This window comes from Homo sapiens, chromosome 5 (assembly GCF_000001405.40).
Source record: "Homo sapiens chromosome 5, GRCh38.p14 Primary Assembly".
Taxonomy (NCBI): Eukaryota; Metazoa; Chordata; class Mammalia; order Primates; family Hominidae; genus Homo; species Homo sapiens.
This window is the reverse complement of record NC_000005.10, coordinates 138,951,382-138,978,414: the sequence shown is the minus strand read 5'-3', so window position 1 is coordinate 138,978,414 and position 27,033 is coordinate 138,951,382. Positions and strand designations below refer to the sequence as shown.

Sequence of the window (27,033 nt, the reverse complement as noted above, 5' to 3'; positions counted from 1 at the left end):
GTATATCCATACAATGGAATATTTAGCAATAAAAAGAAATGAAGTACTGATACATGTTATGAATGGATGAAACTTTTAAAAAGTCAGAGTGAAAAAAGCTAGTCACAAAGCACCACATACTGGATGATTCCATCTCTGTGGAATGTCTGGAATATTCAAATCTGTAGGGCCTAGTGCTGAGGGAGTGGGGGTTGGGGAGAGTTGCGGGGGGCACTAGTAATAGGTATGGGGGGGCAATGAAAATGCCTTAAAATTGTGATATGTTGCACAACTCTGTGAATACACAAAAAGCTATTGAGTTGTACACTTTAAATGGGTGAATTGTGTGGTATGTGAATTTTACCTCAATAAAGCATTTTTAAGTCAGTAACGTGTTATGAAGAAAATAAAATAGGATGATATAAGGTTCTTTAGATGAGTTAGTTACAGAGACTTTTCCAAAGAGATGTCATTCTGGCCTCAACTCAAATATAGATTGAGTCAGCCATATGTACATTAGGCCAAGGGTTTTCCAGGCAGCAGGAATAGCCGTTGCAAGGGTCCTGAGGTAGGGACAAGCTTGGCCAGTTGAGGAAGCAGCCAGAAGGTGAGTGTGGCTGGAATGGAGTGAGCTAAAGAAAGACTAAGAAGAGGTGAGGTTGGCGAAGTTGGCAGTGCACCTAGAGACCTAGGTGAACTAAATTTGGATTTTATTCTAAGGGTAGCAGGAAGCCACTGGTGCCATTTAATTAAGGGAGTAACAAGATCTGATTTACATTTTAAAAATGATCCCCTGGCTTGGCTCAGTGGCTCACACCTGTAATCCCAGCACTTTGGGAGGCCGAGGGAGGTAGATTGCTTGAGTCCAAGAGTTTGAGGCTGCAGTGAGCTATGATTGCACCACTGTGCTCCAGCCTGGGTGACAGAGCAAGACCTAGTGTCAAAAAGAAAAAAAGGAGGAAAAAAAAAAGATTCCTCTGATTGCTTTGCGGGAGAGAAGGAACTCTTCATGGTTTCAGACTACAGCACTGCCTACCTTGTTATCTTAAATCTCTGATAGTAGGAAGCTCTTCCTGGTATCTAGTTCAAGTCACCTCCTCTCATCAGGATTTTGGGTGGTAGATCTGATGGCCATGATAGTGCTTCATAACTGGGAAGATTATTGTTCCCCAGATTAGGATATAGAGTCAGAAAGCTTCATGTCTCTCCATGTTTGTGGCTACTCTCATCATAAGATTGTGGCTGTCCAGACTCAGGACCGTGATGTCTGCCTGATTTTCAATTGCTGGGGCTGTCTTTGGCCATGGCACCTGGTCCTGAGACGAGTAGAGCAATCCTGCCACTTCCACCAGCTAGCAGCATACCTACTTCCTTCCTCTGAGTTGGAGGACAATCTGGAGGGTCAAGCAACACAGGGTGCTGTGTGAATGGGCTTTCTAGTGGATCCAGGTAGCTCTTGAGAAGCTGTGTGAGAAGCTCAGGATGTGTGAGAAGCTCTCAGAGAGTCAGCTCAGGATGGAGGTGCACTTCTCTGGGAAACGTGATGGATGGCACATAATGATTAGAGCTTTGCTTGCCCTACAAATTTTTTTTTTAATTTCATATATATTGTTTCCTCTATTTAAGTAATACATTCTCAGTGTAAGCTTTTCAAACGTTAAAGTAATACGTAATATAGAAAGTTGAAATTATACCAAAAGGACATAGATCAGTTATAGAGACGAACTCCTAATGGTGGTTTATTTACTCATTTAGCAAATATTTATTGAGTCCCTACTATGTGCTTCCTCTGAGGATTGCAATGAAGAATAAGGGAGGTAATGGCCTGCGTGGTGGCTCAAGTCTGTTAATCCTAGCACTTTGGGAGGCTGAGGCGGGTGGATCTCCTGAGCTCAGGGGTTTGAGACCAGCCTGGCCAACATGGCAAAACCCCGTCTCTACTAAAAATACAAAAAATTAGCCAGGTATGGTGGCGCGTGCCTGTAATCCCAGCTACTTGGGAGGCTGAAGCAGGAGAATCACTTGAACCCAGGAGGCAGAGGTTGCAGTAAGCTGAGATCGTGCCACTGCATTCCAGTCTGGGTGACAGAGTGAGACTCCGCCTCAAAAAAAAAAAAAAAAAAAAGAGAGGTAATATAAGAATACTGAGCATGCACCGGGCACATAGTAAGCATTCAGTAATGGTAGCTTCTAATATTGTTGTTATTGTCATCCTGACTGGAGGCAGAGGTATGGGCATCGTGAATATTTTCTGCAAGCTTTTCCTTGACTGGAGGGCTGGAATATCTGGGCCGTGAAGGTCATTGTTTTTTCTCATATAGTGTTCTAAGACCTTAGGGGCTTAGTCAGGGCCTTTGGTGGCCTCTGGCCCTGACACCAGGTTTGGTTCTTCTATGGATACGTCACACTTCTGGAAACAATGCTGTGAAGCAGCTCTTTTCCCTCTTGTCCAGTTTATTAGCTATGTGTTGTTGTATAACAAATTATTCTCAGATGTAGTGGGTTAAAACAACAGTAATAGTTTATTATTTTTCTGTTTCTTTGGGTCAGGAATTTGGAAATGTAGGCAGGGTGTTGACTGGGTATGAGAATCTGCTTCCAGTTTACACGCCTGGCTGGTTGGTGCCAGTTGTTGGTGAGAGGCCTCGGTTTCTCTCTCTGTGAGTTTCTCCACAGGGCTGTGCAGGTCTCCCCATGGCTTCCCCCAGAGTGAACAACATAGGACAGCAAGATGGAAACTTCAGTTCTTTTTGTGGCCTAGCCTTAGAATTCGACATCATCACTTCCTCTTTATTCTTTTGGTCACATAGATCATCTATAGTTAATGTGGGAGGCACCAACACAAAGGCTGGGATCGCTGGTGGGGATCGCCGGTGACCGTGCTGGAGACTGGCACCACACCTAGTATCTGGGGACTCTGTCCTAGGCACTGTGGAAGGAGACCCCACACATGCAGGGACAGTCAGTCACCTCATGGACCCTTGTCTGAGGCAGGTGTTCCTTGCAGCTCACTGAGCCTATGCCCTTCCCCCATGCTCTGGCCTCACGGTGCTGAGCTGCCCAGCTCAGTAGCTGCCTCTTGGCTGAAGTGGTGGCGTGTCAGGGGGAGGACAGTGGTTTCATTTTTGAGTCTTTGATCATGAGAGAAGGCTGAGCTCTTCTGGAAGTCTGCCAGTGGCTTGTGCTTCCAGACACTGGATTTCTCGAAATGGATTGACCAGCTGACCAGCCCCTTCCTATAGGCTTCTTGCCAACCTTCAGAGGAGGGAGCCATTTTTCTTACCTTGAAATCCAGTAATTTCAAGATGAGAGTAGACAGTATTATACTAAAAATGGGGTGTTTTTATCCTTTACAGTTTTATGTCTTGTGTAAGGAAGACTCTTAAAAGTGGGAGAGGTAAGAGGTGTGTGGCAAAAGAACTTCTTGAGTAAGATCCTGGTCTATGGATGGACATACAGCTTGTTGCTGTATATCTCTGGGCAAGTTACTTAACCTAAGCCTCAGCTTCCTCAGCTCAGAGATGAAGAAGACAGTGGTGCTTCACAGACTCATGTGAGGATTAAATGAGATAATGTAGGATGATACACATGAAGCTCATAGCACAGAACACAGCACATTGTAAGGAAATACAGCAAGAGCTGTCACTAAAATATTGTTAATGTTAATATCATCATCATCATTGTGCTCACCGACTCTGAGTGAGACCGAGAGAGGAGCATTGACTTCCCAAGCAACATAAAGGAAACCCAGGCCCGGAAACAGGGGCTCCTTCCCTCTCCAGCTTTCATACTTTCCATACCGAATGTTCTTCCACGTGATGCCTGAACTACAAATAGAAGTTTGGGCAACTCCCAATTATCCCTAGTGTGAATAATTCACTCTGAGATAATCTGTGTGCCTGGCTGGCTTCCCAAATCAGCTGAGTGGATTATTCTCCTCTTTCAATTATTCAACAGTACAAGTAATTGGGAGCTGGCATTAGAATGTAAAGGCCGTGAGGTCATCTCCTGTTGTTCTCAGTTGCACAGTCCTGCCAGTGGTGATGTTTCAGAGCAGTGCGGAGGCTGTAGAGCAGGCCCAAAGGGGGAGGACAGAGGTGGTGACAGGCATGACAGTGAAGAATGAAGGCCCTCAGATGGCAAGTTGGGGGAGGTGAAGCTAACAGCCACAGGCAGGAGAGCCCAAGAGGAACGGTTTATAAAGGCTGCCTTCCCTCTCCCTGGCCTGTAGAGAGAGACCCCGTTGCAGCCGAGTTCACGCTTTCCTGAGGAGCTCTTTGGATTTAGCTTTTGGTTCTGGAATGTTAGTGTATCCTGGAGTCTTTTAAAATATGACCAGCCACCCCTGTTCTCTTCTGTTTGCTGCTCAATTTGATATCAAGGGGTGCACGGAGAGACCTGAGGAGCCTCTTCTTTCTGGAGAGTAGGGTCTCTACATTGAAAATAGCATGTGTAGAAGCGTGATCCATTCATATAAAAAGTAAATGGGTAAAGATTTATATATAAATTTATATTGCACATATATTTTTAAATATGTGATATAAAAATCTGGGCCGGGCGTGATGGCTCATGCCTGTAGTCCTAGAACTTTGGGAGGCTGAGGCAGGAGGATCACTTGAGCCTGGAGTTTGAGACCAGCCTGGGCAACATAGTGGGACTTAGTCTCTACAATCACAACAACAAATTAGTCAAGGCTGGACACGGTGGCTCACACTTGTAGTCCCAGCATTCTGGGAGGCGGGAAGATCACTTGAGCCCAGAAGTTTGAGGGTAACATAGTGAGACCTCAGCTCTATATTAAAAAAAAATTTAGTCAGGTGCAGTGGCATATGTCTAGTCCCAGCTACATAGGAAGCTGCAACAGGAGGATCAGTTGAGCCTGGGAGCTCAGGGATGTAGTGAGCTGTGATCACACCACTGTACTCCAGCTTGGGTGACAGGGCGAGACCCTGTCTCAAAAGAAAAAAGAAAAAACTCTGCTCTTACCTCTGATGGTCTGAGAAACAGGGACTTTTCCTTTCTATTTTGCACTCTTCTATACTGCTTGATTTTTTTTTTCTTTACCATGAACTTACATGATTTATAATTATTTAAATTACTTATTATAAAATAAGACACAGAAGTTGCTGTTGGGTTTTCTGGCATGAGCCCTTTGGATTCTGTGTTTTAGCATTCATGATCATTCTCTGGGCCACTTTATTCTTACACAACCTTTTTTTTTTTTTTTTTTTTTTAAATACTTCAAGTTCTAGGGTACCTGTGCACAACGCGCAGGTTTGTTACATATGTTACACAACCTTTAATTGTATAAGGATAACCTTTAATTGGCTTGGGCTTGGGGGTGGACTCATCAGTTTGCCCAGATCCCTTCAGCCAGGTGGCAGGCAGGTGTCGCTCCTGCTGTACTGTAGGAATACTGTGGCCAGCCTCAGCTCCATGCTGGGACTGAACAAGGGCTTCTCTACCCCCATCACTGGGGCCTCAGCCCTGGGTTGTCCTCCCTTCTGCTCTTATTGCCCCTCTGTCCCCCTTGCCTGAGGACCCAGGACCCGTTTGTCCTGGACTTGGTGGACCCAGGGTTTTACCCTCATGTTACCCACATAGTCCTCTCTTTGCCTCTGGGGAGAAGGATTAAACTCTTGGTTCATGTACTATTTTGAGGTATTTGTCCAAGTTTAATAGTTGTGAAGGAAGAAAAAGGTTAGTTGCTGTTTGAACTGTTTCTCTGGGATTAACAAAAATTAGTTTGTGGCTCAAGAAAAATTGTGTGAGCTCAGTTTGTGGGGTGGGGTCATAGTTTCTGAGGTTCTCTCCAGGTTTGGCTGGTGCTTGGTTCCAGCCTGTGCTGAAGAAGGGCAGGGAACAAGTGGGAAGGAGGAGCTTTCTTGTCTCTGGGGCTCTTAACAGCTGTAGTAAATTGTGGCATGTGTGGAGCAGCAGCAGAGCCAGCCTGAGGAGCTCTGAGCCAGAGGGTTCACCCATGGGAAAGCTGCTTTTTAGCCCAGCTTGAGGTTCTTACATCTGGACCCAGCATGGCTGCGTTGAACCAGACCTTCAAATGTGGCTGTGAGTACCAGGCATGGCTAGAGCATTTAAGTACTCCACATGGGAGCTGAGCTTTGTCTTTCTGCATTTCTAGGGACAGGCTCAGTGGACAAGTAATGGTGGCAGAAAGAACTTGGTGACCAGATGTTGGCTAGCACCACTGCTTTCGGCGGGCCCCAGGTTGTTGGTGAAGTCAACGGAATCACTTAAGAATGTGCAGAGCTCAGGAACTGAAGCCTCATGATTCTCCTGCTGGATCTGGCTTCCAAAGGTCCCCATAACCCTTATCCCCAGCTGGCCTTGGAACAACGAGGCCTCCTATGTCTCAGCTCTCCCCAGGGACCCTACAGAGCTCATTCTGGGCTTTTGGAGGGTGTCATCTGTGTGGCCTGAAGGAGACCTGAGTTTTGGACACGCTTGAGAAGGGAAGCTGCTTTGATATTTAGCCAGAGAGATGACTGAGCCTGTTGGTTGGAGCCCAGTGAGGATGTTAGAAGAGTGTGCCGTGGGCCCTGGAGGTGAGGAAAGGCCAAGGACCTCTCTTCCTTCAAGCCAGGTTGTGGGGAGAGCCCCACTGTGAGCCCTTTGTGCTAGGCATTGAGCAAAGTGGCAGCTTTTGTGGTGCTGGGGATGTGGGAAGTTTTCTACTTTTGCAGCTATTATGCTGAGTTTCCCTCCCTCTCCAGGATGTAGGGGTATATTGGAATAGAGAGCTATCCTGTGAAACCATTGGTGTGAATGGGGAGCAACTCTGGGCTGAGCCTCATCCCCGCTCTTGACCCCCGTCAAAGGTGCTGAGGTTTCCAGGTTCAGGGGAGTTAATCTTTATGGTCTGTGCTCTGAGAAGAAGATTCAAGTTAGTTGGTGAGAAAACCCTGCAAAGAGTTGGCTGCTGGGGGAACTCCTCACTATGCTTTTAGTGCTGTGTAGATTTCCTAAGTGGAGCTGTTTGAAGTAGAAAAAGTCCTGTGCATGGTCTCAGGGGCAGGTCTACAAGGATGGGCTGCTTTTAGAAGTACAAGCAGCAGGGCCTTTGGAGCATTTCAAGCCGGTAGGTCACATGGGATCTCTGCAAACAAATCTCCAACCAGACTGTTAATAGACTTGGCCACCTCCCATTCCAGCCCCAGATAGTCAATTATCATCTAGTATCTTGGCCTGGGGTGGTATAAAACAATGTGGTGGGCTATGAAGGCTCTTGATTTATGTTGTTTTTGGTCTCTCAACACATTCTGTTCTCCTCTTTGGAAAATAATACTTCCTTTCCTTTGGGAATCTCTTCACCAGTGCCACATGGTGTGGTGAGGCTGTTAATCTTTATGCCCCACCTGTTCCCTTCCCAGTTAGGGCTGGTCATGTGATCTAGACTTGCCACTCACAGTATCACTTCCATCTGGACAGTAATTGGTCCAGGGGTGTGTGTGTCACACAAGCAGGACCAATCAAAGTTCTTCTCTGGAATTCTTTTTTTTTTTTTGAGTTTTGCTCTTTGTTGCCCAGGCTGGAGTGCAGTGGCGCAATCTTGGCTCACCACAATTTTGGCCCACTGCAACCTCCCCCTCCCAGGTTCAAGCTATTCTCCTGCCTCAGCCTCCCTAGTAGCTGGGACTACAGGTGCGCATCGCCACACCCAGCTAATTTTTGTATTTTTATAGAGACGGTTTCCCCATGTTGGCCAGGATCTTCCCTGGAATTCTATACCACTTGGGAGGATGTAGTTACCTTTATGCTGGGATTGGCTGTTTACAGGGAGAAAACTGGAGAGAAGCAAAGCCTAGAGGTGCAGGCTGAGAGAGGGCCTTGGCACATTACTTAAGCCTCTGGACCCAGCTGTGCTTTTTACCTTTGTCATGCCTCTTCATAATGGGACCCAGTACACTCTCTTTTCCATAGATGAGGAAGGAATTCAAAGGAATTCAAATTCCTCTGAATTTCATTTTGGTCCCTTAAAAACAGAGTCCTAACTAATACAAAACAACTTCCAACTGATCTGTTTGCTTCCAAATAGCTAATGTCATGTCCAGGGAAGCTGCTTCCCTGGTGAAATCCTGTACCTAACACTTTGCTTTGCACACATTGGGTGCTTGCCTTGTGTTTCTTATGTGGTAACTGTACCCTCACCATCTGCCACCATCCTTTGGGAGGAGAGTGGAGACCTGAACCTGGGTCTCCCAGCCTGCCTTTGTTGGTGGCAGTGAATCCTGTCATCTGTGCATACATTTTCATCTCCCTTCCTCTCTGCCTCTGCTTCTGCAAAGATAAATACAATCTGCCAGTCTTGCTTTGCAGGGGCCTTTCCAAACATGCCAGTGGTGGGGCATTTATCGGAATACCTCAGGCTGCTGTCTTCCAGATGCAGACAAGAGGCCATACTCCCAGGGCACAGTACTGTTGCAGCCATGGGTGTGATTATCCCCCTCTGAGATCAAGCTGTCCCCTTGTGCCCAGTGTGAGCTGGTGCTAAATTTATTGTGCCTAAAACATCAGGGCAGTGTTAGAGGTTCCTTGCCCACTGCTTCCTTCCCAGGCTGCTCGTGCCAGCTGCAAGGCCCTTGTGAGGCTGTTAGATGTCTCTCTGTGGCAGATTCATTGTTCCATATTTTTATTTAATTACTTACTTTTACAGCTCTTAGAATAAATCTAATTATCCATCTGTTATGCTACATTATGCCACTGCGGTTCATGCAATTCTTTCTGATCGTATATGGTATTTGTCAACTTGACCTTGCCCTCTTCCAATGTTGTTGCTCCCCTGTGTGGCTCTGTGCCATCTCCTCAATGGATCCTTGGCACCAGCCAATCTATCAGGGACCTCGGGCAGAGCTGACTGTGAGTGGCTCTCAGATGGAACAGGGGTTGGTGGAGCGTGGAGTATTATTGCAGGAGGAGAGTGGCCAAACAGCCATCTCTGATACCATGCTGACCTGACAGAGGCATGGAAAGTTGGGCTGGTACTGTGTTAGAGTCCCAGAAAGGAAAGCAGGAGCTCTAGCCTACAGTTTCCAGTCTTCAGCCAGAGAGGACTGTTGTCAAGGAGGACAGCCAGCTGAGGTCAGGCTGAAAGGAGGTGACAGTGGCCACCTGGGGACATATCTGTGGACTGTCCTGCCATGGCTGGCAGGCGGTGCCTAATCCTAAGATTGAGTCAGGGCTGATCTTAGACACAGCAGAGGTGGGCATTACCTACTAGAGGTGATTTCAGGAATCAAGTGAAACTCCCTGCTTCCCAAATCTTTTTTTCTTTCTGCTACTGCCTAAAATTCAATTAATACCATTAGAAATTTGTTTCTTGGTTTTATATATATAAACTTCTCTTTGTGAGCAAATACAGACATTCCTAGGAGGAGGACCTCAGGGGGTTATTGACCATCTGGGCTGCATCCCTTTTCTCAAGCAGGCAGGGGATATGCAGTGAGGAGGACCCATGGTCAAGAGAATCAAAGTGCAGGGAGATGGGGAGAGAAGTCAGAACTCAGGGCAGTCGCGGAGTCTGATTCCGTGAGCTCTTGGAATGGGCAAGGTGCTCAGAAAGGGAGGGAGGTCATGTGCCCAACCCATCCACGTGCCTAGTGCTGGGGCTCAGTGTCTCAGCTGGGAGGGGACACAGAGCCAGCCTTGTGTCTGCAGGCAGCTCCTGTTAATTGCATGCTGGGCATTGGGCTCTACCATCTAGAGTGAGGTCACAGTTGAACAGACAACAAGGCACAGTCCAGGTCCTTGAGAGAGTTCATGGTTTAGGAGGGGAAGCTGATCTTGTCAGGTCTGTTAAGAGGATGGAAAGAAGGAGGGCCCCAGGAATGCATAGCAGGGGCCCTGTGAGGGTCAGGAGGTCAGCGAGTGTTTCTCTGAGGAGATCGTGTCTGAAGGGTTCTTGCAGTAGGAACTGGCCAGATGAAGATGGGGACGGGCAGGGGCAGGGCGCTCAGGCAGAGGCGGTGGGGAACACAGCACACTGAGATTCCTCTGTCGATGGAGATGAGTTGAGAAATTCATCGGGGCAAGAGAGGTCCTCCCTCCTCATCACTTTGGTCCTGAAACAGGGTCATTTTCAGCAGACCTCTTGAATGGAAACGCTGAGCCTGCTGCTGTCACTGCTTCTGAAGCATATTCCCCAGGGGCCAGGGGAGGACCTGTGTGGCACAGGCTTTCTGTGGTGGAGGCACTGTGGTCAGAAGCTGTGCTCTACCGCCTCATCCCCCCAAGGTACCTGCAACCCAGGGCAGGGCCTGCTATGCTGACTCTTCCTCCTCATTCACCTGCCCCACCTCCAGCCCAAGCACACATTAAAGGACTTCCGACTTGGATGTGGGCCCAGTTTGGAGCTCGTTATAGCCCAGTGGCCAGGCCCTTCATTTTCCCTTCCAGGTTAAGACTTGGAAGGCATCAAAGGTTGCAGGAACACCCCACAGGCCTTCTCCCTTAGTCGTCTTGCTCTTGCCCTGTCTGCGTGGCCTCCTTAGCTGAGCTTTTCCCACCAGAGCCTCTGGTGACTTTCCACAAGTTTCTCCTCATTCCAGCAAGCAGATTCATGACTAATTGCTGGTAATTTTTTCCTCAAGACTCTATTTATATAGGCTGTCGTGTTGGGGGCGGGGGAAAGCAGGCTCTAGTCCTGGGGGGGCTGCTGTTCCCTGCAACTGCCATCATTAGACTGAGGCCCATGTGGCATTGATATCCACACTTTGTCTTTATTCTTGTATTTTTTGTCGTTGTGACATTTGGTTCTTTGAACATCTAACGTCCCTTTTATGCTTCTCATCTCCCACAGAAGATTGTTGTATTTTGACCCCCACTGAAGCTGCGTTTTCTTTTTGTCAGATTTCTCACTTTCTTCTTTATTGTATTTTGATCAGTGCAGCCATGTAGGTCTGGGTTTTATTGGGAGCTTTTCATCTTTGGGGCAGTGGCCCTCACGGCCTGGGTCTTCTGGCCAATGCTGGGTCCTGCCTCAGGCCCACCAGGGTGAGAGAGGCCCAGGTTGTTATCTGTCCAGGGATACTCTAGCCTAGCGGTTCTGAAAATTAAGCATGCCTCAGAAGCACCTGGAAGCCTTGTTAAAATGCAGATGGCCAGGCCCCTCCCCTAATGGTTCTGATTTCGTGAGTCTGGGGTGACGCTTGAGAATTTGCATTTCTAACTAGCTCCCAGATACTGCTGGTGCTGCTGGCCCAGAGATCAGACTTGGAAAACCACTGCTTTAGAGTAATTCCTCCTTTACCTTGAGCCAGAGTGTGCAGGGCCCAAGGGAGGAAAGAACAGCAGGGTACCAGGATTCTCCTCCTCCATACTGGGTCCAGCTCTCAGAAACACAACGATGGAGGATGTTGCCAGGGCATCATAATAGTAAACACCTGTACAGTGATTTCACCTGCCCTATCTCACTCGATACTCACAGCAGGTCCATTGGTGAAGTAGCACAGCTTCTTGACAAATAATAGAAGTCAAATTGAGATAAGTTAAGGCCTCCTTCCTGGCCATTAGGCTAGTAATTTGCGGCGTGTCCCCAGTGGAATCCAGTTTTCTTAGCTCCTATTCTAGAGCTTTCATGACTCTGCTACTTATTAGCTATGTGACCTTGGGAAAATTACTTAGCTTTCTATGACTCAGTTTGTTGATGAGCAAAATGGGAGTAATGGTGTCTGCCTCATTGAGTTGTCATGAGGATGGCATGATTTAATGCTTGAAAAGCACTTGAGAGCTATTAAATGGTGGCCTCCAGAATCCCCTCCTCTCATGGCGATGAGGGGCTGCGGGTTTTTTGTTTTGTTTGTTTTTGGCATTTCTGTCACAAGAGGCACAGGAAGATGTACTAGTGCCCACCAGACAGCATTACCCGGCCATCAGGACAGGGCTCAGTCACTTTGGAAAGTCACCACCCCCCTACACCCGCCCGCCGAGGGAAATGGCCTGAGGAAGCCTGGTGGGTGGTGTCTGCCTCCAGGAGTTGAGGATGGAGCAGTAGCTGAGGGGCTGGGTCAGTGTGTGAAGCCTAAGACCAGGAGGAAGGGGCACCAGGAGAGCAAGGCGGCCGGGTGGTCCACTCCTCAGGAGCTACTGTGATCCTGGTCCTTTCACTGCCCAGCCCTGGGTGGTGGCCCTTGGAGGATTAGTTTGGAGGGAAGCTAAACTAAGTCTGCCATTTTAGTGGTTTTCTCTTCCTGCCTTGCCCCCACCTTCTGACTTGGGACATTTCCAGCAGTAACGGGGGTTTGAGTGGAAGGCTGGTCTTGATTATGCTAGCAATATTGAACTTGTTGAAAATTACATGCCAGGTACTGTTACATTTGGTATCTCATTTAATCCTCGGTAGCCTCATGAAGTAACCCTCATTTGACAGATGAGGAAGCTGGGTCCTCATCTGTATAAGTAGGGTGACCACATAATTTATTGTCCAAAATGGGATACTTTTAAGAGTGAAAGGGGCACAGTTAATTACTGCACTGGGACAAGAGGCATAAACAGAACATATGGTCACTCTCTGTATAAGGCTTTGTGTTAAGTTCTATGGAAGATATAAAGGTCAATAAAGCACTCTCATGGTCCCGGAACCTGGACCTTGAGCTGAGAGGCAGGTTAATTGACCTGTCTTAAGGTTGTACAGAAAGAAGTCCAGGATTCAAAGTCAAATCTGTGTGGCTCCAGAGCCCTTGGTCTTTGCTAAGCTGCCATGACACTTCCCTCTGGAGTGCTGTTATCCCCCTCCGTGGGTGCCTAGAGTTAGCCTATTCCCAGGATCTCCTGCCCCTCAGCTCAAGGTCCAGGTTCCAGGACCATGAAAGTGCTTTATTCACCTTTGTGTCTTCCATAGAACTTAACACAAAGCTTTATACAGAGAGTGACCATATGTTCTGTTTATGCCTCTTGTCCCAGTGCAGTAATTAATTGTGCCCCTTTCACTCTCAAAAGTGTCCCGGTTTGGACAATAAATTATGTGGTCACCCTACTTATACAGGGTCCTCCCAACCCAGGGACAATGGCATTTTAATAGAGGACCCTGAAAGACAGAATTGTCTTTAAGACTCAAAGAAGTAAATCCCAGATGGTGAAATTTTAAGCGTTTATATCCCAGTAGGCAAGAGAATGTAGACAAAGATTCTGCTCAGCACCCCACAAACCTACCACAAAGGACTATTTCTAACACCCGATTTGAGGGTTGTGGGGGTCACCAGGCCTGTGATGAGATTTGAAAGGGCAGGAGTCCCACTGTGGCTCATGGAAGTGTCTGACAAGCAAGGCCAGAAAAGGGGAGGGACAGCAAAAAGCTGTTGCTTCCCCACCTCCCCAGGCAAGAGGGAAGCCCCTGCCTAGCATTTGATTGTTCTCAAGCCCCCAGCCTCCCTGCAGGAAAGAGCTAATGGGGATTGGCCCTCTTCCCAGCGTCACCCTCAGCCCCTGGTGGGCCCCTGGGCTCAGCTTCCCCACGCTTTCTTGTCGGGTTCCCTCAGGCCCTGCCCTTGTACCCTGGACATTGGTCCATACTCAGCCATGGCGTGTGCAAGTCACATTCCAGGCTGTGTCCTTGCCCCATTTGCAGGCAGCTGAAAACTGCTGTGCATATGTCAGTTCACACTTGAACTGGTTTAATGTTTTTTTCTTTTAAGTTGCAATCTAAAATTCAGCCAGACAGGCTTTAACGAGCACTAAATCGTCAAGCCTTTTGTTTCCCTTGCTATTCAAGCCATAGAGATTTTGTGTTTGATTCAGCAACAATTGCTGAATCTTAAACAAACCATTTACGTTTTGACATTAACTATTTTACGAGTGTAACTTTTTCTTTGGTATTTGAGTGATTCCAGCAGAAGGCCTTTTAATGATTTATCAGAAATAGAGTTAAAAGAGTCTGTGGAAGGTGATTCTTAACATTTTCTTTTGGGGAAAAAAGGAGGTTTTCATCTGCCTTCAGTTGGGCAGTACATACAGAAGTTTAGCTTTCCTCCTCCTATTTTAATAACTTTTGATCTTGTCAAGGTCATTCCTCCAGCATGCCCTCCTGCTCAGCTCCTCCATTTTTCAGACAACCCTTGCACCCAGTGGCTTCTCTCAGAGTGGCTCTCTGCGCGTCTCTGTCGGCTGTTAATTTTGTCTGATAGAGACAGGAACTATGTTCGTTCTTTGCTCTAGCCCTGGTATTCTTAACTGAGGTCCCTGTGCACACTGGGCGTGATCAGTATTTGTCAACCAGCTGACTGGACAAAGAGCCTCAGACAAATAGCATGTTTGCAAACAAAGCCATCCATCATTCTGTCCCTTGAAGCTGTAAGTAATTGGAACTTTTCTCCAGTTCTTAAAGATTTCCACAGAATGGGAAGTCTCCACTTTCCTTTAGGTTCCCATTCCGGTCTGGTGAGTCAGGTCAAAGGGCCTTGAGCAAGGTCAGGCCTCCCAGTGTTGTTCCTGCTTCCGGGAAGCTCTGTATTTTTCTCAGCCTCCAGTGAGACCTGGTGAACCCCGCGCCTAGCTGAGGAGTCAGCGGATCTGCCCAGTTTTCTTCTCTGTTACAATGTGAGCCAAGTGGCCAGGCCTAGGAAACCCATGCTAGGGGGGCCTGAGACTCCCTGTGAAATGCAGCTAGCTGAGGAGGCCATGTTGATCCGCCCCCACGGAAAACCGGGAGCCTGGGTGCTGCACTTGCCTCTCTGAACTAGAACTAATTGTTCTTAAAGATCTTTCCAAATACCAATGATGCAAAATATTTGGATGGTTCACCATATTGTTCACCATATTTAAACTGTCAGAACCTTAAATATCTGAGCAAAACCTCAGCAAACAAAGGATATTTTGGGGACTTGTTATGTGTGTTGCACAGCAGAGAGATTTGTAGTCTATACGACTTCCAAATCCTGTAAACGAAGTATTTCAGTGTTGTCATTTTCAGCTATAGACCGTCCTACGATCATTGCCTTTTCTTTTGCTATTAAGAGATGGCTCATTCATAAACATTCCTACAGTTGTGTGGCAAACGCAAAATAGGCCCTGCGTGATTCCACTGGCTCTGATTGAGGAGATGATTTTTCACACAGTGAGATTTATCATGTTTATCAAGTTTATGACAGAACACAAGGAGGGTGAGGGGATGTGGAGGTTGGAGGGAGTGCAGATCTGAGTGAGGAAGGAAGCTCTTTCCTGAGCCTCAAAGGGCGGGTTGACAAGGTGTGTTGCCTATAAGCTTGGAGCAAGGATTGTGTGGGCCATTTCCTTGGATCCCCTCTTGCCCTGCAGGGTCTGGCCTCCTCCGCTCTCCCCCAGCCACCAGACATGGGGATAGTTATACCACCAACTGAGTATAGAAGACCTAAAATAACATCCTCTGTGTTCTCTAATAAAGTTGATAAATCTCAGTGTGTGAAAAATCTCCCGTATGTTTTAGCTTAAATTTTCTTCTGCTTAACCTTGTTACTCCTGCCTTGCCTCCCTCAGACTGCCTGAGACAATTACTCAGGGACATTCTTTGAATAATTAGAGGCTGCAGATAATTCTCTTTAGCCCGCTTTCTTCCATGTTCCCTACCCTGTGGTCTCCCTTTAGCCAGTTCTAATTAGCTGCTTTGATCCTTCCTCCCAATCTCTCCCTCTAGCTTGTTAATTACATTTCTCCCCCATGAATTCCTTCTGTACTGGCTTTGTCTATCCAGTCAGAGGAGCTGAGAATGGGAATCTAAGGCCACTCAGTGGGAGGTCTTCTTTGTCCCCCAACACAGATAGCTCCTCTCCCTTCTGAGAAGCCTGAAAACCCTGGCATTCTGTCTTAGCAGAAAAGTAAAAATAATAATTTTTGTTAAATGGTATATTATGATAAAACAGCTGTTATCCTAATGCTTGGCATTTGCCAGGAACTCTGGGTATGTTTATGTATATAAAATCACATTTCATCCCCGCAACAATCCCATGAGATAAATATTATTGTTATTAATCCCTGTTTTACAAATGCAGAAACTGAGGTACAGAGAGGCTTAGTAACTTACCTCAGTCACACAGCTGAAAACACTAGAATCTCGGACTTTCACCTAGGTCTCTCTGACTCCAGAGCAGCACTCAGTGTTTTGCTTCCTGGGTTTGGGCTTTTTGGTGAAGAGGAAAAAAAAAAAAATGGAAAAAGTCCAGGTCATTGGCTTTTAGCCCACCAAAAAACTAACCAACCAATCAACTCTGAGGTAATTGTCAACTCTTTACCCTCCGTGTAGAAGAGGCTTTCTCAATTGAAATTATAAAACTGGCACAGAAGCAAACTGGCGTGGTGCACGGGGTATCTGGGCAGTTGGAAATCTTCTAGAAAAAAAAAAGAAACCAATAAATTCTTCACTTGCTTTAATTCTTAATTCTCTTTTCTGACAGTTTTCTCTCTCAGGAGGTTAAGGAAGCAATAAGGAGAAGGGCCTCACTGAAATTATATTCTGAGCAACAAGAAGGATCTGTCTGGTAAAAAAAAAAAAAAAAAAAAAGTCTAGAGAACATCAGCAGAAAGTGACTGTGTTTGGAGAAGCTAAAAGGGGAAGGTAAAACTCTCTGCCTCTGAGTTTTAGGGAAAGTAAATTTCAGAGGGTCCAGGAAAAAGTAGATATGATGTCTGAACAGGAGCTTCAAAAGGAAAGATGACTTAGAGTTTGAAAAATGAAGTGTACTTAATAGAGTCACGAGTGATTACTGCAGGGAACAGGGAGCCACCTAAAGAGACCCACATGGCTTCAGGGGGCACAGTTCGAGCTGAGATTTTGTCTAGAGATGAAAAAGGGACCTGTAACCAAGAGCAAATAGAGAAGTGGATGCAACCTCCGAGAACAGTGTCAGGAGCACCAGATGGGTGAGACCTGGGAAACACTAAGAACAACAAAGGCGCCTGTGCAGCTACTGTTGAGAGTGAGAGGGATGGCAAGGAAGGCTTTAGGCCACCTGGTTCAATCAGGTGATTTAGCAGATGCCATAGAGGGCATCTCTGTCCTTACTGCTTATTCTGTTTGCCTCTGCCTTCTCTCTCAAGGAGAATGGCCTTCCTGCAGAAAGTAAAACAAACATAGAGTTAAGTGGAACTTGAGACCAGGAGTGTACAAAAAGTGTAAATGAACCACTGGCTTCTCCAAATTAGACAGGGTCTGAAAAATTAAATGCCAGACAGAAACTTAGGGACATCATCATCAAACTGTGTGCAGAAATCTTTATGGCATTATGGGGATTGGGAGAGGGGCAAGGAGACACAATGGGCAACTGTTCTGGTTTTCAAAATAACAGAGCAAGTTTTTGAGATGTGACTTAAGAGTATTTTTAAAGAAAAGAGGTCATTTCTTAGAGTTAGTGTGGGTTCCATAAAACCAGGTCTTGCTGGACTAGTTTAATGCTTAAGTCCTCCCTCCCCCATCCCTCCATATAGAAAAGTTTAACACATTCTACTTGATGAATTATTGAAAGTGGAGACACCCATGTAACCACCACCCAGATCCAGAAATGTAACATTATCAGTACCCCAGAAGACTGTCTCAAGTTCCTCCCAACTCTAATTTTCTTTTTCATAAGATTTGCCAGGCTGGCAGATTAGGCCGGTATAATAGACACAGAGGAAGTCTGCGTTTCAGGAAATCATTTGACAGAATCTCATAATAATCTAATAGATCAGATAGAGAAATGATAATAAAGACGTAGATTTGAGGCCGAGTGCCGTGGCTCACGCCTGTAATCCCAGCACTTGGGAGGTCAAGGCTGGCAGATCACTTGAGGCCAGGAGTTCGAGACCAGCCTGGCCAACATGGCAAAACCTTCTCTCCACTAAAAATACAAAAACAAAAACAAAAACAAAACAAAACTGGGCATGGTGGTTAGTGTTGTGGTGTGTGTCTGTAGTCCCAGCTACGTGGTAGGCTGAGGCATGAGAATTAAGCTTGAGTTCTGGGAGGTGGAGGTTGCAGTGAGCTTAGATTGCGCCACTGCACTCCAGCCTGGGTGACAGAGTGAGGTGAGACTCTGAATCAAAAAAAAAAAAAAAAAAAAAAGACGTAGATTTGTAGCAGCTTGAACAATCAGACTTAATCAATGTTTATTTAGAAATGGTTCAAGTGGTTCAATGTCAACAGAGCCTTCACTGTAGTGATGTGCCAAAGAGCTTGTGGCAGACTCTGTCTGTCTAACCTGCATTCTGGTTCTCATGTGAAGATGTGGGAACAGATGGCACGGATCAGGAAGAGATAACCATGTAAGATACATGACAGTGAGAATCCAAAAGAATAGTGACAGGCTAGGAGGAAGGGTCTAGGTAGCCAAGTGGCATGTTAAATTTTATTGTTATTAAACTTCTAATTTATAAGTAATTCAGATTCCTTGTTTAAAACAAAAATTCACCACCCAGAAATAAATATATGGTGTCATATCACCCATACCATTTGTAATTTGCTTTTTGCCTCCTGACAATATTTATTCTTTAGTAAGAATAAAATCGAAGCCCTGTGCTTGGCTTCAGAGCCATGTTGGGGACCCCCTGGCTCATCAGAAGATCATGTGAGCAGCCTTTAGGGATTTGACCTAGGCAGGCCACTGTAAGCTCTGTGAGGCTACTAACAAAAATCTAGAGATTGAGGCATTAGGGGCAGAGTGGCCCTGGGGCAGAGGCAGCCAGGCCCATTGGACTGTGGGTGGGGGGTTGTCCAGCCTGGATCCCTGAGGGTAGGTTTGGGCACCACCACTGTAGGGATTCATCAGTAAGTGGAACAGGGTCCCATAGAGCATTGTCAGGAAAGTGGAGAGTTTCAAGAGTCACCCTGAGAATGACTGCAGAATCCCGTGAGGCCACGTTGTGAGAGGGGAGCTTTCTCTGGATGGTTGGCTGCTCCCAACTTTCAGAAGGGCTGACCTGTCAGGACAAGATCAGGCAACCCTTTCTTTCTTCAAGGGTAGACTTAGGACCAGAGGGTATAGGACCAGAGGGTATAAGCTTCATGAGAGCAGATTTCAGCTCAGTATCAGAATATGTTTTTCTGGCAATTGGAGGAGTTTTAAACTAGCGTAAAGCTGCCTTGTTTGATGATGTAGTCTTCAAGTACTGGGCTGCCAATTACCAGAGATGCTATACTGGATAAAAGGTTGAGCATTGACTCTAGTTATCCCAAATGCTTGTCCTCAGAACGTAGGAATCACATGTGGCATTTATGAAAAATCAGGTCTTCGGAGCCACGTTCTCTGAGATTATGATTTAGTATATGCAGGGTAGGGCTTGGAGTCTGTATTTTCAAAAAGGGCTCCAATTGTTCCTTGGAGAAATGGCTGATTCCATGGCTGGCACGGGAAAAGAGCAATATCTTGTACAAGAACATCCTGTGCCAGAAGGTAAGAAAATATTAAAGGGTGATGGAAACATGTTAAAAAGACACAGAAGCCAGCATGAAAATGCCTGGTGATTAAGGATAATTTGAGCATTGAAGTAAATGATAGAAATGGATGCCATTCCATAGATTAAATAAGAATCTATTAATCCATACTGATACCAGTAAATGAATGAATGAAGAAATAGGAAAGAAGGAAAACCTCTTCTTTTAGGTAGAATGCCAGCAAATAAAGATAGAAACAAGAAAAATAAAGACAGGAGTTTGAATATCATCATTTGACAAACATCATGGTACAGGTTGAACATCCCTTATCTGAGATGCTTGAGACTAGAAATGTTTTGGATTTTCTTTTTTTTTTTTGGCTTTTGGAATATTTGCATTATATACTTACCACTTGAGCATCCCTGATCCAAAAATCCAAAATCCAAAGTGCTCCAATGAACATTTCCTTTGAGCATCATGTTGATGCCCAAAAAGTTTCAGATTTTAGAGCATTTTGGATTTTAGATTTTTGGACTTAAGATGCTTAACCTGGGATAATTAAGCAAGAATTGTCAATGATTGCCAAAACGACTACATGAAAGTTTGATGAGGAATAGGCTGTCTTCATATCTCAAAGTGTCTCCCCACAAAATATTAATTTCAGAGGAACAAATAGTATTTTTATAGTGGAGAAATCTGGCAGATACCACCATAACCAAGTATGCAAAGAAAACATCCAATTGTGAGACTTATGGACATCACTTGCCCTCCTATGTGATACACTGAGAAAGATACGGCATTGTGTTTGTGTATTCCTGCCAAAGCCACAGCCTCAGTCTAATCATTAGAACACATTGGACAAATCCAAACTGAGAAACATTCTACCACTGGCCTGCACTTTTCATAAATGTCAGTGTCATGAAAGACAAGACTAAGGGACAGTTCCAGATGAAAGGAGACCAAGGAGACAGGCTGCTGTGTACATCGTATGGGCATAAATCGGACGTGGGGTCAAAATTATTTTTCTAAAAACAATATTATTGAGAGGGCTCTGTGCAGTGGCTCATGCCGGTAATCCCAACGTTTTAGGAGGCCAGGGCGGGAGGATTGCTTGAAGCTAGGAGGAGTTCAAGACCAGCCTGGGCAATATCGTGAGAACCCCCATCTACAAAAAAAAAAAAAAAAGTGTTTCTTAAAAAGAGGAAAGAGTGGGGGGTAAGGACTATTATTGGGACAGCTGGCAAAAGCTGAATAAATATCTGTAGATTACTGTGTCAGTGTTAGTTTCCTGATTTTGATCACTGTACTTTGGTTATGTTCTTGGGACATACACACTGATATGTTTAGGGGTAAAGGGTCTTCATATCTTCAATTACTCTCAAATATTTTAAAAAAGAAAATCTGTGTAAATATTAAGAGAGACAGAAAATTGTGGTAAATGTCCACAATTGGTGAATCTGGATGGGAGTTTATTTACTATTCTTGCAGCTTTCCAGTAAGTCATTTTTTTGTGTAATTACTTTTCTATAATTTTTTTTTCTTTAGAGAGACAGAATCTCACTCTGTTGCCCATAGCTCACTGCAGCCTCAGCCTCCTGGGCTCAAGTGATCCTCCTACCTCAGCCTCCCGAGTAGCTGGGACCATAGGTGCATACCACCATGCCCGGCAATTTTTTTTTTTTTTTTTTTTTACTTTTGCAGAGACGGGGATTTTACCACCTTGTCCAGGCTAGTTTCAAACTCCTGGACTCAAGCAGTCCTCCCACCTTAGCCTGTCAAAGTGCTGGGATTACAGGCATGAGCCACCACACCTGGCCTATTTTCTGTAATTTTTTAAAGCACTAGTCTGAAATGGTTTCAGGAAATAAACTGCCCAGGTGATTGTGACACAGGGCTGTGTTGGAGAGCTACCAGATGACCCTCAGGAAGGTGATTTGCTGCCCCTCCCTCTGAGGTTCCCTTTATCTCCTCAGAGGTGGGCAGATGATTGTGTCTGTGTGTGTGTATTGTGTGTGTGTCTGTCAGTAGGGTCTAGAGACCCTCTTGTGAGTTGCTGTTACTGTGGTGAGGAGTGGGTGTCTCATAGTTGCTTACGTGGGTGGCTTCCAGTTGGGGGCTGTACATGAAGGGGTCAGATGATAGCCCTGCCTTTCCCCAGTGTCCAGATGGAACTCCTGAGGCCATACAGGTCCCAACACAAAGTGATGTGCAGCTCATGTGTTTTGTTATTCCTGGAAGCTTGACTTTGTAGTGGAAGATTTGTACAGTGTTTTTTTTGTTTTGTTTTTTGTTTTTTGTTGTTGTTGTTGTTAAACCTATTCCATTTTTATTCAATTCGGTAATTGTATCTTTTTTTTTTTTTTAAGATAGAGTCTTGCTCTGTTGCCCAGGCTGGAGTGCAGTGGCGTGATCTCAGCTCACTGAAACCTCTACCTCCTGGGTTCAAGCGATTCTCCTGCCTTAGCCTCCCGAGTAGCTGAGATTACAGGTGCCTGACACCACACCAGCTAACTCTTGTATTTTTAGTAGAGACGGGGTTTCACCATGTTGGCCAGACTAGTCTTGGACTCCTGATTTCAAGTGATCTGCCCGCCTCAGCCTCCCAAAGTGCTGGGATTACAGGCGTGAGCCACTGCGCCCAGCCAATTGTTTGTATCTTAACTGATTGATTACCTAGCCCCACTCATCCCTGGATGGCAGGCAAATATAGATGTCTCTTGAACCCATCTATTTCAGGATTACACATCCTGCAAATTCTTGCTTTCCCAGATGATGGAGGCCACACATTAAGGCATAAGCAAGGTGGGGCCACCAGAGGAAATCTTTCTTTCTGGGCAAGAAGGTGAGCTGCACTTCATCAGGTGAATGATTGAGCCTGGCCCCATATACCCCTGAGATGTGCCCTCTGCCCTCAGTGCATGGCATCATCTCAGAGGCATTTCAGAAGAAAAATAATAGTTTTTTCCTGTTCTAAGGGAATGAAAAGAGTATTTGTTGCACTTAGAAATGTCACGAGGACGCGTGAGTGAGCACATCCCTCTGCTGTGCCTCTGGTGTCCTGGTCTGGCCTGGCAGTCTCAATCACAGAAGCTCTCTTCAGTTACACCTTAGCATTTCCTTGGCCCCCATCTAACTAGTCACCCTCATCCTTATTCCCATCCTAGAGCTCTGCCTTTTCCAGTTGTTTTCCTTTTCAGAAATTCAAGCTTACTTTTCAGCCCTTGTTGTTCCGGTTGGTTGACCCTGGAGCAGGATTTCCGTGCACATACCTTGTTGGCCCTGCCACCCGTGCAGCGGCACAGGACCCCACACTCAAAAGGGCCCGTGCTTGGCTTCATGCTCTGTTCTCACTGTCTTGAAATTTCTGATAATTCTTGAACAAAAGGCCCTACGTTTTCATGTTGCACTTGGGCCTGAAAATTATGTAGCCAGCCCTGAGCCCAAGGGTGAAGTCAGCCCCGGGGTGTGTGCTGGGCAGCAATCTCCTGGGCCCCCTGGCCGAGCTGGGCTGCCTTCCCTGTGGTCAGCTCCTTCAGTCCCCTTCCACCCAGACACTTGCTTAGCTTCAGTTAGCTAAAATATGACCTCTGACTCTTGGCTGATTGCCCAAATTGCTGTCACCCTGACCCAAACTCTTTGGTTTTTGCAAATGCAATCACTTCCATTTTTGCAGCCTGCCCCACCCCCAGCCCATCTCCCTGCAAGATTTACAGAGTAGCAGCTGCTGTCGTCCCTCTGCACACAGACAGCTGACTTGCCTGCTGATTGTGAACATCCCAGTAATCCAAGTGCTAATGGTATTTATTTAGTCCAGCCGGCTTAGCCCTGAACAAGGTTTATTCTCATTTATCGCATCGGAGATGAGCTACGTCCTTAATATCCTTCTGTTGACTTTGAGCACACCAGCGCCACTGATGTCACTTTGAGGCGTGCCAGGCCCCCGCCCCCTTAACTCAGATCCCCAACTGTCAGGACACCTACCTTCCAGCCAGCAGGACTGGTCCCTCCAGGGGTGGGCCGCAGCTCTGGTCCAGAGTCCATAGGCTGGAGGAGGATGGGGCTGCCATACATGATATGTGCTCGAGGCATCCAGGCCAAATAAAGCTGTGCTCTCAAAGATGTGGTCTGGCCTCTTTGTGTAGTGAGCCTACTGTAATTATCTTTTGGCCACAGTGCATTGGCTAGCAGTGTGGCATTTTGGCATTCATTAACTGTTCTGTCTTTTACATGGGTAGTCCTAGCTCTGCCTCACAGGTGAAAACTTGCCCAAGGCCATGAGCCATTCATTGCTTATGAGATTCCCAGCAAGGGTCCTGCAGGCCCTGGTCCTTGCACATCCAGAGGCCTCACTCTGAGCTGTTTTGGTAGTTGCCTCCCCCAGCCCCAGGCTGTGAGCATTTAAAGCCCAAGGCAGAGCTGACTGGCGAGAGGGTCTGTTTCTAGGAGCAGATTCTACCCTTGGTGGGTGATTGCTCAGGAAACCTTCAGCTCTACTGGCCCTGCCTGGATGGACTGAGGAGCAGCTGGAAGCGCAAGCCTCATCTTCCCCCTCTTCCTCTGCTGTGTTTCTTCAACCCCTTGCCTGGGCAGCCCTAAAAGGCCACTTCACAGGGTGGCCTTTTAGGAAACTCCTGAAGCTGTGGGAACCCTGGGGTAAGGCCTGGAGTTCCCAGGGTTCCATGGGTACCTCGTTTAAGCTGATCATGTGAAGAGGCCAGGCAGGGCATGGGCCCAGGGCTGCCAAGGCTGTGCACTGTCACAGCCCATGTTTGGCCCATGGTCCTGCCGTACCCACAGACTTGGCTGTGGGTGAAAACATGAATTTATTGCCTTATGAACCTGATTTCAGCAATTTACAAAAGGTCAGACTTTCTCTTTTCTCTCCGATTTACTTATCTGATGTTGGAGCTCTCTTCTCTCCTACTCTAAATGGGGTGGGAAGAGCCTGCCTGAGGGGGACAGAGTGGGTGGGACTGGGCTGCTGCTGGCTTGGCTGTGGGTGGCTCCCGACCCACATCAGCCCACCTTCTGAAGAGAAGGGACTTCTCTTTGCCCTGGTCACAGTGCAGAAAGTGGAAGGGCTTTGGTTGCCCAGCCCTGGGTGATTAACTGAGGCTGCGATGATGGGGTGCTGTGATGAGCTTTGTGCTGTCTTTGGAGGGCCTTGTCTCTGCTGCTCTGAGGGCCCATGAGGGATGGGACTCCTTGGCAGTGCTCCCAAAGGCTGATGCGATGTCAGATCTCTCAGCCCCCTTGGGGAAGCAGCATTTGATGTTTGTGTGAATCTCTCAGCGTGGTCGTCTTCTCTTCCTGGACCCTCCTGTCATGGGTGAGCGTTCCTTAGGCACATGATGGCAGAGACAGCCCTAATTAGCTCATGCTTTGATGAAACAGCTGCCTGTCTCAAGTCGTGGGGGGCAGGGGAGCAGCTCAGCTCCCAGGCCCCCCTGCGCCAGCGCCTGCCTGCCTATCTGGAGAGGAGCTGTCAGCCTCCCTTCCCCAGGGACTCTGGCCCATCTCCAGGCTGCTCTGCAGACACAGGGGTGGAGTTGCTGTGGGACGGGCTGGCACCCACCCTGTACTTCCTTTCTGGCTGAGAGGCTACAGAGTGACACGTGGTACAAAGGAGCTTTTCTCTTTAGAAAGCTGGCTCAGCGTGCTCGGTCTGCTCTGGACCTTGAAGCTTGTTCCTGGTCAGAATAGAAGTGGGGAGCTATCTTCATTCCATTCAGCCAGCTTTGGGGGCACGCCTGCTGTGTGTCGGGCCCTCTCCTGTACGGTGGCACAGTGTGTCTTTTCTGGGTTTAGGACCAGGAGCCAGCTCCTTCTGATTTGTCTTTGTTTCCTTATACCCTGGCTCACTCTCAAGGACACCGTGAGGGCCCCCTGGCCAGGAGGGTTGGGAGTTAGGAGGAACAGGTGCTTTTTGGGTCTCTGGGAGCTTGTGGTCATGCCAAGGGCAGGCAGCCAGAGGCATGCGGTGGCTTTGGTAGACTGCGGTGTCCTTTGTGGGCTAGTTGGATGGGTGTGACAGCCACCATCTGACTGCTGGCTTGGCCCCTTCACTTGTTGTTGGCCTCAGGCTTTTGTGTGCCTGTCCCCTCTTTTCTCTGGGGCCTCACATGTGGGCTGCTGAGAGGGGAGCCCTGACCTGCCCAAGGGCCTGACTATCTGGTCCCTGTGCTTGACACTTGCTCCTTAATTGATCCCTAATGCAATCTTGAAAAGCAAGGAGCCTGCAAAAGGGCATCCTGTGAGGGATCCCGGCCTTGTCCCCTGCATGGCACCCTGCCCTGATGGGGGTCCCCGCCAGGCCCCTCATCCCTTCATCTGGGAGGTCTGGGCCTGAAATGTTTTAATCACATCACTATTTCTCTAGCCCAGAATGGGGAGAGGAGTTCCAGAGGCAGCTCAGGGTTTTGAGTACTTTAGTGCAGTATGTTTATCTATTGATATGTTCATGGTTGTGTACACGTGTTGTTCATTCGTTCGTTCGTTCAGTCGTTCATTCATTCCCTACTGTCCAGGGACCTGTGACGTGGCAGGCTCTGTGCTGAGTGCTGAGAATACAGGGCAGAGAAGCTGACAGTAGCTGCTGTTATAGAGTGGGAGCCCAGTGGGAGGCATTGGGTTGTCCTGTTTTAGGATCTGCCTGGGTATTCAGAGGCTCCTGTCTCTTGCACTTTCTTCCTGCCTTCTCCCGCAAGCATTTTCTATGTGCAGTCTGAGTGCCGACCCAGGAGAGGAGAGGGATGGGGCCCTGGCCTTGGGGCACCAGACCCAGAGGGGAACAGACCCATTAGTAATTGCCCCAGTGTGTGATGTGCTTGGGTCATGGAGGAAGGAACATCCGGCACTGGCTTGGGAAGCGCCAAGAAAGGCTTCCTACGGGAGGGACGCTGAAGGAGCACCTTCGGCATCGAAATGTCTTTACAGTAGTAGAGGTTGTTCACCTTCCCAGCCCACTCCAGCCCCTTGGCTGCTGGGGAGTGGGGGCTGGCATGGGAGCACTCAGCCCTGTCACCTGTGCTGTGGGCCGCTGTTCCCACGTGGGTCTGTGCCAGATGGTCTTTGTTTCCCCAGCTGAGTTTGACTTGCCCCGTGTGGGAACCTCTGTTGTTCTTGTTTCTCCCCAGGGATGGCTGACATGGGCTCAGTTCCCTGACCATCCGATCCCTGGGCTGGGCAGGGTAGTCATGCTGTCCTGTGCTTCTTCCCCAGCAACCCCAAGGTCCAGGTGGAGGCCATCGAAGGGGGAGCCCTGCAGAAGCTGCTGGTCATCCTGGCCACGGAGCAGCCGCTCACTGCAAAGAAGAAGGTGTGTTTCCATGCCCTTCCTCCTGCCCAGCCTCCAGGACACGTGTGGGGCCTGAAAGGAAAGGGTTCCTGTCCAGGCTGTGCATGTTACCATGGGGGCCTGAGCATCATCTGCTGGGTGGCACAGGGGGAGAAGTTACACTCAACTAAAGCAGATGGCAGTGTGCCGAGGTGACTAGAGGCCTGGGGGCAGCTCCTGTGCTGTGGCCTTGGGCCCTACTCCTGGCCTCCCACCCTTGGCCTCTGTTTACCTCCCATTTACTCACTTGGTAATGTTGAAGGTGTCTGAGTCCCTCCTGGCCTCACAGTCCTGGGTTCTGGGGTATAGCTGTAACTGAGGTGGGGCCGGGAGGAATGGGGACTAATTTGGGGCACCTCTGCCTGCCTTCCCTGGGCCTCAGGGCAGG

At 47.5% G+C, this 27,033-nt stretch overlaps 1 protein-coding gene and 1 long non-coding RNA gene across 6 annotated transcripts in view, besides 1 other annotated feature; one reads left to right on the top strand and one right to left on the bottom strand.

The window, feature by feature from the left end:
- SIL1 (SIL1 nucleotide exchange factor) overlaps window positions 1-27,033 on the top strand; it is a 251,645-nt gene that overhangs the window by 219,954 nt on the left and 4,658 nt on the right. For all 5 annotated transcript variants that reach the window (NM_022464.5, NM_001037633.2, XM_011543570.3 and 2 more), the window contains one exon: window positions 26,531-26,627. In NM_022464.5, coding sequence (NP_071909.1) covers window positions 26,531-26,627 — 97 coding nt within the window. The remainder of the gene's footprint in view (window positions 1-26,530; window positions 26,628-27,033) is intronic.
- On the bottom strand, window positions 2,476-26,533 carry LOC124901079 (uncharacterized). The gene is made up of 2 exons (XR_007058954.1): window positions 16,194-26,533; window positions 2,476-16,081 (listed from the first exon to the last, which is right to left on the bottom strand). It is a non-coding gene; the product is annotated as an uncharacterized LOC124901079 (long non-coding RNA).
- Window positions 24,100-25,037: an enhancer, noted in NCBI's record as "H3K4me1 hESC enhancer chr5:138289067-138290004 (GRCh37/hg19 assembly coordinates)". NCBI's record gives its function as "activates a minimal SCP1, AML or CMV promoter by ChIP-STARR-seq in naive H9 embryonic stem cells {active_cell/tissue: H9 hESC(naive)}" and the evidence as "EXISTENCE:reporter gene assay evidence [ECO:0000049][PMID:30033119]".